General features: G+C 34.5%; 1 protein-coding gene across 5 annotated transcripts in view; it reads right to left on the bottom strand.

Annotated features, from left to right (window-relative positions):
* CACNA2D4 (calcium voltage-gated channel auxiliary subunit alpha2delta 4) overlaps positions 1-14516 on the bottom strand; it is a 126690-nt gene that overhangs the window by 101213 nt on the left and 10961 nt on the right. For all 5 annotated transcript variants that reach the window (NM_172364.5, XM_047429897.1, XM_011521041.3 and 2 more), the window contains exon 6: positions 14265-14396. In NM_172364.5, coding sequence (NP_758952.4) covers positions 14265-14396 — 132 coding nt within the window. The remainder of the gene's footprint in view (positions 1-14264; positions 14397-14516) is intronic.

Consider the following 14516-nt stretch of genomic DNA (forward strand, 5'->3'; position numbering starts at 1 on the left):
ACAGAATGCACATTATTCTCACCAGCACATGAAACATTCTCCAGGACAGATCATATATTAAGACACAAAACAAGTCTCAGTAAATTAATCCCGGCACTTTGTGGGGCTGAGGCGGGTGGATCACGAGGTCAGGAGTTGAAGATCAGCCTGGCCAAGATGGTGAAACCCCATCTCTACTAAAAATACAAAAAAAATTAGCCACACATGGTGGTGGGCGCCTGTAATCCCAGCTACTTGGGAGACTGAGGCAGAGAATTGCTTAAACCCAGGAGGCAGAGGATGCAGTGAGCAGAGATCACACCACTGCACTCCAGCCTAGGTGACAGAGCAAAACTCCATCTCAAAAAAATATATAATAATAATAATTGAAATCATTTCTAGTATCTTCTCGGACTACAATAGAATAAAACTAGAAATCAATAACAAGAGAAATTTTAGAAACTATTCAAATACATGAAAATTAAGCAACATGCACCTGAATGACCAATGGGTCAAGGAAGAAATTAAGGAGGAAATTTAAAACTTACTTGAAACAAATGAAAATTGAAAAACAATATACCAAAACTTGTGGGATACAGTAAAAGCAGTATAAAGAGGACAGTTTGTAGCAATAAGTGCTTACATCAAATAGTAGAAAGATTTCTAACAATCTAATAATACACCTCAAGGAAATATAAAAGCAAGAACAAACCAAACCTAAAATTAGTGAATGGAAAAAAGTAAGAAATACTGGAACAGAAACAAACAAACTAGAGACTAAAAAATTATGAAGGATCAACAAAATGAAAAGTTGGTTTTTGAAAAAGATAAAACCAATAAACTGCTAGCTAGACTAACCAAGAACAAAGAGAGAGGACCCAAATGAACAAAATCAGAAATGAAAAAAGCATACATTACAATGAATACCACATAAATAGAGACCATTATAAGCAACTATACACTAAGACAAACTGGAAAACCTAGAGGAAATGGATAAATTCCTGGACACATACAAGCTACCAAGATTGAACTGAAATAAATAGAAAACCTGAACAGACCAATAACACATAATAAAATTGAACCAGTAATAAAAAGCCTCCCAACAAAGGAAAATCTAGGACCAGATAGACTCACTGCCAAATTGTACCAAACTTTCAAAGAACTAACACCAATTATCCTCAAGTTATTCCAAAATATTGGAGAGGATGGAATTTTCCCTAACTCGTTCTGTGAGGCCAGCATTACTCTAATATCAAAACCAGATAAAGACACAACAACAACAAAAGAAAACTACAGGCCAGTATCTCTGATGACCATAGATGCAAAAAATCTTCAACAAAATACTAGCAAGCCAAATCCAACAGCACATCAAAAATATAATATGCCATGATCAAGTGGGATTTATACTAGGGATGCAAGGATGGTTCAACATATGCAAATCAATAAAAGTAATATATGACATCAAAAGAATGAAAATAACCATATAATCATCTTCATAGATGAAGAAAAAGCACTTAATAAAATTCAGCATTGCTTCATGATTAGAAACTCGCAGCAAACTAGGCATAGAAGGAAAATACCTCAACATAATAAAGGTCATATATAACAAACCCACAGGTAACATCATACTGAATGGGGAAAATCTGAAAGCCTTTCTTCTAAGAACTGGAACAAAAAAAAGATGCCCACTTTCACCACTCCTATTCAACATAGTATTCTAAGTCCTTGCCAGAGCAATCAGGCAATAGAAAGAAATAAAAAGCATCCAAATTGGAAAAGAGGAAGTCAAACTACTCTTCTTTGCAGATGGCATAATCTTATATCTAGAAAAACCTAAAGACTCCACCAAAAAACTCTTAGATATGATAAATACATTCAGTACAGTTACAGGATATAAAATCAATATACAAAAATCAGTAGTGTTTCTATATACCAATAATGAACTAGCTGAGAAAGTAATCAAGAAGGCAATCTCATTTACAGTAACTACCAAAAAAGTACCTAGGAATAAATTTAACCAAGAAGGTGAAGGACCTGCATAAGGAAAGCTACAAAACTGATGAAAAAAATTGAAGAGGATACAAATGAAAAGATTTTATGTTTATGGACTGGGATAATTAATATAATTAAAATGACCATACTGCCCAAAGCAATCTACAGATTTAATGCAATGATTATCAAAATACCAATGCCATTTTTCACAAGAGTAGAAAAAAATCATAAAATTCATATGGAATGGAAAAAAAAGTCAGAATAGCTAAAGCAATCCTGAGTAAAAACAAAAACATAAACAAAAACAAAAAACAAAGCTGGAGGCATCACACTGCCTGACTTCAAAGTATGTTTCAAGGCTATAGTAACCCAAACAGCATGATATTGGTATAAAAACAGACCCAAAGACCAATGAAACAGAATAGAGAACCCAGAAATAAATCCATATATTTAGAGCCAGCTAATTTTCTTTTTAAAAATTAATTACTTAATTAATTAGTTTTTAGAGGTAGGGTCTTGCTCTGCCACCCAGGCTGGAGTGCAATGGCGTGCAAGACTCACAGCAGTCTTGAACTCCTGGGCTCAAGCAATCCTCCCACCTCAGCCTTCTAAATAGCTAGGACTATAGCCATGTGCCACCACATGGCACATGGTTACATTTTAAAATTTTTTGTAGAGATAGGGGTCTCACTATGCTGCTCATGCTGGCCTCAAACTCATGGCCTCACATGATCCTCCCACCTTGATCTCCTAAAGTGATGAGATTACAAGTGTGAGCCACCATGCCTGGCCTCAAGCCAGCTAATTTTCAACGAAGGCACCAAGAACATACAACAAGAAAAGAACAATCTGTTCAATAAATGGTGCTGGGAAAATTGGATTTCCATATGCAGAAGAATAAAACTGGATCCCTATCTCTCATGATTTACAAAAATCAACTCAAAATGGATTAAAGACTTAAATGTAAGTCCCCAAACTATAAAGCTACTAGAAGAAAACGTAGGGGAAATACTTAAGAACATTAGTCTCTACAGAAATTTTATGGATAAGACCTCAAAAGCACAGGCAACAGAAACAAAACAAACAAATGGGACTCTATTAAGCTAAAAAGCTTCTGCACAGCAAAGGAAACAATCTAAAATGAGGAGACAGCCTGTTGAATGAGAGAATTATTTGCAAACTATTCATCTGACAAGGGACTAATATCCAGACTATCTAAGAAACTCAAACAACTCAACAGTAAAAACAAAACAAAACAAAACAAATAATCCCATTGAAATGTGGGCAAAAGACATGAATAGACATTTCTCAAAAGACATGAATAGACATTTCTCAAAAGAAGACATACAAATGGCCAATAGATATATGAAAAAATGCTCAATATCACGAATCACGAGGGAAATGCAAATCAATACTACAAAGATATATCATCTCATCCCAGTTAGAATAGCTATTAATAAACACACACACACACACACACACACACACACACACACACACACACACACAAAACAGATGCTAGCAAGGATGCAGAGAAAAAGAAACTCATATGCCATTGGTGGGAATGTAAATTAGTATAGCCACTATGGAAAACAATATGGTGATTTCTCAAAAAACTAAAAATAGAACTACCATATGATGCCACTACCTAGAATTTATCCAAAGGGAAAGAAATCTGTTTATCAAAGGTATACCTGCACTGGCATCTTTATCACAGCACTATTCACAATAGCAAAGATACAAAATCAATCTAAGTGTCCATCAAAAGATGAATAAAGGAGATGTGGTATATACACAGAATGGAATATTTGGCCACCAAAAAAATGAAATGCCATTTGCAGCAACATGGATGAACTGGAGGGTGTTAAGTGAAACAAGCCAGGCATAGAAAAACAAACACTGGGCCGGGAGCGGTGGCTCTTGCTTGTAATCCAGCACTTTGGAAGGCTGAGGCAGGAGGATCACTTGAGGCCACGAGTTCAAGACAAGCACTACATGTTCTCGTTCATATGTGGGAGCTAAAAAAGTTGATCTCATGGGGGTAGAGAGTAGAATGACAGATACCAGAGTCTGGGAAATGTGTGTGGGTGAGTGGGGGAGGAATAAAGAGGAAGGTTAGTGGGCACGAGCATACAATTAGATAGAAGGAATGAGCTCTAATATTTGATAGCAGAGTAGGGTGACTATAGTTAGCACTGCATTGTATATTTCACAATAGTTAGAAGAGAGGACTTGAAATGTTCCCAACACATAGAAATGATAAATACTCCAGGTGATGGACATCCCCAAATACTCTGACTTGATCATTACACCTTCTGTGCATATAACAAAATATTACATATTCCCATAAATGTGTACAAGTATTATGTATCAGTAAAAATAAGATGATGGCACATTCAAATATACCAATGTTCACAATAAATGTAAATATGCTTAACTTGCTAACTAGTAAAAGAGATTGCCAGTTTGGATAAAAATGTAAAAGCTATAAACTATTTTCAACAGATATGGCTAAAATGACAGAAAGTTCGTAAATAAAGGGATAGAGGAAAAAGTATATATCAGGTAAATACTAAGCATGAGCATGCTGGTGTCACTCTATGACTATCAGACAAAATACACATTAAAATAAAAAGTGTTGTAGGAGTTAATAAGGATCAAGCAAATATAAAATCAGCAAAGATACAGAAAATTTAAGCAATACAGTTAACAAGCTTGATCTAATGGCATGTATAGAAGATTTCATCCAACAATGAGAGCACACATATTCTTCTCAAGCACATATGGAATATTTACAAAACTTGATGTCATACTCAGCCATTAAAATAAATTTAAATTAATTTCACATAGTATATGCACCAAATTCTTGGACCACAAAGCAACTGAGTTAAACATTTAGAATAAAAAGGTAAATATAAATATTTATCTACATTCCCATATTTGTAAATTTAAAAACACACTTTTAAATAACTGAAATATGGAAGAAATCACAAAGAAATTTCAAAATATTTAGAAGCAAATGATAATTAAAACACTACCTCTATACCAAAACTACAGGCAACAAAAGAAAAAATAGATAGACTGGACATCAAAATTAAAAACCTGTATGTATCAAAGGCTACAGTCAACAGAGTGAAAAGGCAACCCATAGAATGGGAGCAAATATTTGTAAATCATCAATCCAACAAGAGGTTAATGTTCAGAATATACAAAGAACTCCTATGACTCAACAACAACAACAACAACAACACCTGATTTAAAAATGAGCCAAGAACATGAACAGATATTTCTCAAAGATGAGCAAATGGCCAATAAGCACATGAAAAGATGTTCAAAGTCATTAATCATTAAGGGCATGCAAATCAAAGTTGCCATGAGATACTACCTCACACCCATTAGGATGGCTACTACCAGGAAAACTAAAAAAAAACTAAACAAAAAGAAAACTGCAGAAAATAACAAGCTGGCAAGGATTTAGAAAAGTCGGAACCCTTGTGATAGAGGCTGCATCCTTTTACATTCCCACAACTCTGTGTGTGTGTGTGTGTGTGTGTATGTGTACATATATATGTATACACACAAAATGAAATATTATTCAGCCTCAAAAAGGAGGGAAATTCTGACATATGCTACAACATGGATGGACCTTAAGGGCATTATGCTAAGTGAAGGAAGCCCATCACAAAATGACAAATACTGTATGTTTCTACTTATATGTTGTACATAGAATAGTTAAATTCATAGAGATTGGCATAGAATGAGGGTGCCAGAGGCTGGGGGGAGAAGAGAATGGAGAGTTATTGTTTAATAAGTATAAAGTTTTGCAAGATAAAAAGAGTTTTGGAGATGGATGGTGGTGATTGTTGCACAACAATGAGAATGCACTTATTATCAGCGATACTTTTAATAAGTTCACTTAAAATGGTTAAGATAGTAAATGTTTATATTATATATATTTTGCCATAAATAAAAATAAAATTTAAAAAACCTCACTACCAATCAAAACCTGTGAGATGCAGCAAAAACAGAGCTTCTAGTGGCATAGTGTAGACTTAACATTTATTTTAGAAATACAGGGAGGCTAAAACTTAAAGCTATGTGTCTCATTTAAGAAGTCAGGAGGAGGAACAAAATAAACCCAAAGAAAGGGAAAGGAGAACATAAGAAAGAGCTAAGATAGATGAAATAGAAAATAGAGAAATAGTTAAGAGCAGTCAATGGAGACAAAAGATGATTCCTGACAAGACTAACAAAATAAAGAAATCTATAGGGAATTGGAAAGAAAAAATGCATAATACTGTAAATTAAAAGGGGACACAATTACAGATACAGCAGAGATTTAAAAGATGATAATAAGAGAATAATAGATTCATACAAATAAATTTGAAAAGTCAGATAAAATGGATGGATTCTAAATAAAAGTACTTCAAATTCTAAGAAATAGAAAGCCACATTAGCATTACAAGTGATCAATAAATCAAAGCAGTAATTTTATCTTCCCATAAGAAAACATCAGGCCTATATGCTTTATAGATGAAATCTATCAAGCATTTGAGGAAAAGATCATTCTAATCTTATTCAAATACTTCCAAAAACCAGAAAAAGAGGGACTACTTCCAAATATATTCTATGAAGCTAGTATAATTTTGAAAACCTAACAAGGATAGTAAAGGAATGAAAAATTAAGGGACCATTTCACTTATAAATATAGAAGCAAAAATCCTAAACAAAATATTAATAAACCAAATCTAGTAATGCATAAAAGGATAATTTACTATAATCAAGTTAGGTTTCTCATAGGAATGCAAGGATTGGTTAACATTAGAAAATTCAATAGTTAAGTAGGCAGAAGACAATATGCATTTCACAAAAGAGGATATACATACAGCTAATAACATATAAAGAAATGCTCAACTTCATGAGTGATCAGGGAAATGCAATGCTAGACCACTATGAAATACTATTTTATACTAAAGAATTGTTAATAAAAATTGTTTTTTTGAGACAAGGTCTTGATCTGTCACTCAGGCTGGAGTGCAGTGACATGATCACAGCTCACTGCAGCCTCAGACTCCTGGGGTCAAGTGATCCTCCCACCTCAGTCTCCTGAATAGCACCACAGGTGCACACCACCACGACTGGCTAATTTTCATTTTTAAAAAATTTTTGGTGGAGATGAGGTCTCACTATGTTACCCAGGCTGGTCTTGAATTCCTGGGCTGAAGCAATCCTCCTGACTTGACCTCCCAAAGTGCTGGGATTACAGGCATGAGCCACTGCACCTGACCAACAAAAAACTTTTAACAACATTCAGAGTTAGATAAATTGTGCATCAGTGGGATCTCTTATTCATTGCTTGTGGGAATATAATTGGTGTGAGTATTTTGGAAAACCAATTTGGAATTTTCTTTTCAAAGTTGAATGCCCACATATCTTAGGGCCTAGCAATTCCATTCCTTGAATGTCATTAGATAATGATAAACAGGTCAATTCAGCAAGAGGATATAACAATTGTAAATATATATGCACCCCACACTGGAGCACCCAGATATATAAAGCTAATATTATTAGAGCTAAATAGAGAGATGGACCCCAATACATAACAGCTGGAGACTTCAACACCCCATTTTCAGCATTGGACAAATCATCCAGAGAGAAAATCAACAAAGAAACATCATACTTAATCTGCACTACGGGCCAAATAGACTTAATTGATATTTACAGAACATTTCCCTCAATGGCTACAGAATACAAATTATTTTTAGCACATGGATCATTCTCAAGGATAGAGTACATTTAGGCCAGAAAATAAGTCTTAAAACATTTCAAAAAAATTGAAATAACATAAAGTATTTTCTCTGATCACAATGGAATAAAACTAGAACTCAACAAGAAGAGGAATTTTGAAAACTATACAGAAACATGGAAATTAAACAATATGCTCTAGAATAATCATTTAGTCAATGAAGAGATTAAGAAGGAAATTGAAAAATTTCTTGAAACAAATGATAATGGAAACACAACATACTAAAACCTGTGGGATACAGCAAAAACAGTACTAAGATGGAAGTTTGTAGCTTTACGTGTCTACATCAAGAAAGTAGAAAATCTTTAAATAATCTAACAATACATCTTGAAGAACTAGAAAAACAAAAGCAAACCAAACCAAAAGTTAGTAGAAGAAAAGAAATAATAAAGATCAAACAGAAATAAGTGAAATTGAAATGATAAAAAAACCCAAAGATCAATGAAATGAAAAGTTGGTTTTTAAAAAAGATAAACAAAATTGACAAACCTTCAGCTCCACTAAGAAAAAAAGAAAGAAGACTTAAATATATAAAATCATAGATGAAAAAGGAGACATTACAACTGACACCACAGAAATTCAAAGGATCATTAGAGGCTACTATGAGCAAATATATGCCAATAAATTGGAAAACCTAGAAGAAATGAATAAATTCCTAGACACATACAACCTACTAAGATTGAACCATGAAGAAATCCAAAACCTGAACAAATCAATAACAAGTAATGCTATTGAAGTCATTATAAAAAGTCTCTCAGCAAAGAAAAGGCTGGGACCTGACGGCTTCAGAATTGCTGAATTTTACCAAAAATTTAAAAAAGAACTAAAACTGATACCAATCCTACTCAAACTATTATGAAAAATAGAGGAGAAGGAAATACTTCCAAACTCAGTACACAAGGCCAGCATTATCCTGATACTGAAACCCAACAAAGACATACCAAAACAAAAACCAACCAAACAAAAAACCTACAGGCTAATATCCCTGAAGAGCACTGATGCAAAAATCCTCAATAAAAACACTAGCAAACTGAATACAGCAATACATTAAAAAGATCATTCATCATGACTAAGAGGGATTTATTCCATGCAAAGATGTTTCAACAAATGCAAATCAGTCAATATAATACATCTTACCAACAGAAAGAAGGAAAAAAACTGTATGATCATTTCAATTGATGCAGAATAAGCATTTGATAAAATTCAACATTTCTTCATGGTAAAACCCCTAAAAAAACTGGGTATACAAGGAACATACCTCAACATAATAAAAACCATATACAACAGACCCACAGCTAGTATCATATTAGATGGGGAAAGACTGAAAGCCTTTCCTCTAAGATCTGGAACAAGACAAGGATGTCCACTTTCACCACTTTCATTATTCAACATAGTACTAAAAGTCCTACCCACAGCAATCAGACAGGAGAAAAAAATTAAGGGACTCCAAATTCGAAAGGAATAAGTCAAATTATCCTTATTTGCAGATAATATGATCTTATATTAGGAAAACCTAAAGACTCCACCAAAAAACTATTAGAACTGATAAACAAACTCAGTAAAGTTTCAGGAGACAAAGTCAATATATAAAAATCAGTAGCATTTCTATATGCCAACAGCAAACAATCTGAAAAAGAAATCAAGAAAGTAATCCCATTTACAATAGCCACAAATAAAATAAAATACCTGGAAATTAATTTAACCAAAAAAGTGAAAGTTCTCTACAAGGAAAATTATAAAATATTGATGTGAGAAATTGAAGATGACACAAAAAATGGAAAGATATTCCATGTTCATGGATTGGAAGAATTAATATAGTTAAAATGTCCATACTACCCAAAGCAATCTACACATTGAATGCAATCCCTATCAAAATACCAATGACATTCTTCACAGATATAGAAGAAACAATTCAAAAATGTATATGGAACCAAAAAAGACCCAGAAGAGCCAAAGTTATCCTGAGCAAAAAGAACAAAACTGGAGGAGTAACATTACCTGACTTCAAATTATGCTACAGAGCTATAGTAACCAAAACAGCATGGCACTGGCATAAAAACAGACACATAGATCAATGGAATAGAATAGAGAGTGCAGAAATGAATCCATACATCTACAGTGAACTCATTTTCTACAAAGGTGCCAAGTACACACATTGGGGAGAGGACAGTCTCTTCAATAAATGGTGCTGGGAAAATTAAATATTCATATGAAAAAGAATGAAACTAGACTCCTATCGCTCACCATACACCAAAATCAAATCAAAGTGGATTACATACTTAAATCTAAGACCTCAAACTATGAAACTACTAAAAGAAAACATTGGGGAAACTCTCCAGGACATTGAACTGGGCAAGGATTTCCTGAGTAATACCCCATGAGCACATGCAACCAAAGCAAACATTGATAAATGGGATCACATCAAGTTAAAAAGCTTCTGCACAGCAAAAGAAACAATCAACAAAGTAAATAGACAATGCACAGAATGGGAGAAAATATTTGCAAACTCCTATCCATCTGAGAAGGGATTAACAACCAGAATACATAAGAAGCTCAAATAACTCGGTGGGAAAAAAAATCAAATAATCGATTTTTAAATGGGAAAAAATCTGAATGTACGTGTCTCAAAAGAAGAAAGACAAATGGCAAACAGGTATATAAAAAGATGCTCAACATCATTGATTATCAGAGAAACACAAATCAAAACTACAATGAGATATCATCTTACCCTAATTAAAATGGCTTGTATCCAAAAAACAGGCAATTGCAAATGCTGGCAAGGACTTGGAGAAACTCATACACTCATACACTGTTGATAATAATGTAAATTAGTACAACAACTATGGAGAACAGTTTTGAGGTTCCTCAAAAAACTAGAAATAGAGCTACCATGTGATCCAGCCATCCCACTGCTAGGTATCTACCTAAAAGAAAGAAAATCAGTATATTGAAGAGATATCTGCACTCCCATGTTTACTGCAGCACTATTTACAATAGCCAAGATTTGTAAACAATCTAAATGTCCATCAACATTAGAAGAATGGATAAAGAAAATGTGGTACATGTATACAATGGAGTACTATTCAGCCATAAAGAGAATCAGATTCTGTCATTTGCAACAACATGAATGGAACCAGAGGCCACTATGTTAAGTGAAATAAGTCAGGTACATAAAGAAACTTCACGTCGCACTTTTTTGTGGGGGCTAAAAATTAAAACAACTGAACCCATAGAGATAAAAATTAGAATAATAGCTACCAGAGGCTGGGAAGGGTAGCGATGGGGTTGGGGAGAAGTGGGATGGTTAATGGGTACAAAGAATAGAAAGAATGGATAAGATCTAGTATTTGATAGCACAACAGGGTAACTATAGTTAGTAATAATTTAATTTTACATTTTAAAATAACTAAAAGAGTATAATTGGATTGTTTGTAACACAAAGGATAAATGCTTGAGGCAATGGTATCCCATTTGCCCTGATATGATTATTACACATTGTATGCCTATATCAAAATATCTCATATACCCCATAAATATATATACACATACTATATACCCACAAAAATTAAAAATTAAAAAAACAGAATTATTAGTTTGTGGTTTTGGGCACCACAATGTATAAAGAAGGAATTTTGTGACATCAACAACCAAAGTGGGTAGATAAGGAGCTGTAAAGGAGCTGAGTTTTTGTATGTTATTGAAGTTAAGCTGTTATAAATCCAAATTAGAATGTTATAATTTTAAGATGTGAAATGTAATCCCTCTGGTAACCAGAAATAAAATAACTATAGAATACATATAAAAGGAAATGAGAAAGAAATTTAAATGTTTCCCTATAAAAAATCAGCTAAACATAAAAGAAGACAGTAATGCAGAAAATGATGGACAAAAAAGCTTAAGGCTTATAGAAAACAAATAGCAAAATGATGGAAATAAGTCCCTCAACAGTAATTACTTTAAATATAAATGGATTAAACTTTCCCATCAAAACACAGAGATTGGCAGCATGGATAAAACATAAAACTAGCAAGCAAATCTCAGGAGCATATTAAAAGGATTACACACCATAACCAAATAGGACTTATTCCTGGAATGCAAGGATGGTTCAACATATGAAAATTGATCAAGGTAATATACACATTAACATAATGAAGGGAAAAAATTCCATGGCCATCCCAATGGATGCATAAAAAGCATTTCACAAAATTCTACATCCTTTGATGACAAAAACATTAAAAAAACTAGCAATAGAATGAAACTGATATAAAAATCATATATGGAAAATCACATCCCAAATATCATACTCTATGGTGAAAGACTAGAAGCTTTTTCTCTATAATCAAAAACAAGACCAGGATGTCCACTTTTGCCCCTTCTACTCAACATAATATTGGAAATTTTAGCTAGAGCAATTAGGCATAAAAAAGAAATAAATGACATTCAAACTGGAAAGAAAGAAGTAAAATTATGTCTGTTCACAGATGATCTCATATGTAGAATGCCCTAAAGATTCCACAAAAAACTGTTAGTTCTAATAAATAAATGCAGCAAAGTATCAGGGGACAAACTCAACACACAAAAATCAGTTGCATTTCTATACATTAACAGTGAACAATCTGAGAAATTATTTTTAAAAATCCTATTTATGATAACATCAAAAAGAATAAAATACTTAGGAATTAACTTAACCAATGAGGTGAAAGACCTGTACAGTGAAAACTATGAAACACTGCTGAAAGAAATTAAGGACAGAAATAATGGAAACACATTCCATATTCATGGACTGAAATACTTAATATTGTTAAGATGTCAGTACTGCCCAAGGTGGTCTACTGATTCATTGCAATCCCTATTACAATCACAACGAGCAAGAGAAACTCATTCTAAAATTTATATGGAACTCAAGAAACCCCAAATAGCCTAAACAATTTGGGGGGAAAGAAAAACTGATGGAGGCACACTTCCTGATTTTTAAGTTACTGAAAAGCTACAGTAATCAAAACAGCATGGTACTGGCATAAAGAAAGGTATATAGACCAATAAAATAGGACAAAAATCCCAGAAATAAACCCCCACATATATGATTAAATGATTTTTGACAAGAGTACCAAGACCATTCAATGGAAGAAAGGCAGTCTTTTCAACAAAAGGTGCTGGGGCAACTGTATATCCACATGAAAAAACGGAAGTTGAACTCTTACCAAATACCATATACAAAAATTAACTAAAAACGGAAATGTAAGACCTAAAACTATAAAACTCCTGTTAGAAAACATAGGGGAAACACTTTATGACATTAGAGTTGGCAGTCATTCCTTGGGTATGACACCAAAGGCAAAGAAAACAAAAGATAAAATAACCAAATTGGATTTCAGAAAAAATTTAAAAGTTTGTTCATCAAAAGACAATATGAACAGAGTAAAAAGGCAGCCCACAGAATGGGAGAAATTATTTGCAAATCACATATCTGATAAGGGATCAATATTCAGAATATACAGATAACTCCTAAAACTCAACAACAATAAAAATAGTGCAATTCAAAATAGTGAGAAATGGCCTCTCTCTACTGACTGATGCGTTCACATCTGGACTGTGTTGTTTACATATAAGTTGGTGTCTCTGGAAGCCCTGATGTGGCAGGAATATTTACAGGAATTCCACCCTGGAGTAGACAAGAGGGGCACGTGAACTGCTGCATGGAAGAAGGATAAACCTATTCATTGAAGCTCCAGAGAACCGAAACAGCCACAATAGCTAGCTGTGAATTCTGGCAGAGGAACACAATGCCAACTATGGGAACTGCAGGAGCTCTGAGTTCCCTTGGCACTCCAAGAGAGAGATTGACTTTCCAGCCTGTGGACACAGTGGAGTCCTCTCGGGCCTTTCTGGTTTCCTGTTTCAGAAAAGTGGGATAACTTTAAGACTTCCTGGACTGTGTGCTAAACTATAAAAATGGGTTGGGGTGAAATGGAGAGCTGACTTATTTTAAATGGGAATCAAAAAGAGGTAGAACTCTTGGAAACTTTGTGCTCTGTGTTTTCTATTTTTATTGATGGACTCTATTAAGTTGGCCACTAGCCACAGAGTGTGGCCTGTGCCATTTTCCAGATTGCTGTTGAACACTCTTGGCGAGTGCGCCTCATTTTTCCAATTGGGACATAAAGTCCTTAAGGTAAAGAATTGTTTTATCCTTCTTTGTATCTTCCAAAGTACTTTTCATGGGACAGGAGCTTCATGTGGGCATTCATTGACTGGTTTCATGGTGTTTGATGGTTTCATTCATTCATTCATTCATCCATTCCACAGCCCTTTAATATGTGCATATCATGCAGTGAGAAGGGCTAAAGTGTGGGCTTGGAGATGCTTTGGGATAGGAGGACCAGCCCCATTCACTGGGGACCTGAGTGCCAGGGTCCATCTTCAGTGCCCCTATTATTTCCAGAGAAGAATCCCAGAAGGTCGGGGAGATGCAACTCCATGTCCTTACCTGGATAGATCCTGAAGAATCCAGTTGCACTGCCAAAATATTGCCAGGTCAACGTTGGGTCTCTCTGGAAGTTCTCCACGAAGACAGCATTCAAGGCTTCAGACATGTAGACTCCATTTAAAATATCTGGGTCTGAAGGGTGAGACTATAGATTATGATCCTGTAGAACTTCTCAGGAAAATGGTGATCATGCCCGGTGAGGGTGCCTGGTGGGCGTGTCTGGTGGGCGTGTCTGGTAAGCGTGCCTGGTGG

Source organism: Homo sapiens, chromosome 12 (assembly GCF_000001405.40).
Source record: "Homo sapiens chromosome 12, GRCh38.p14 Primary Assembly".
In the NCBI taxonomy this organism is placed as follows: domain Eukaryota; kingdom Metazoa; phylum Chordata; class Mammalia; order Primates; family Hominidae; genus Homo; species Homo sapiens.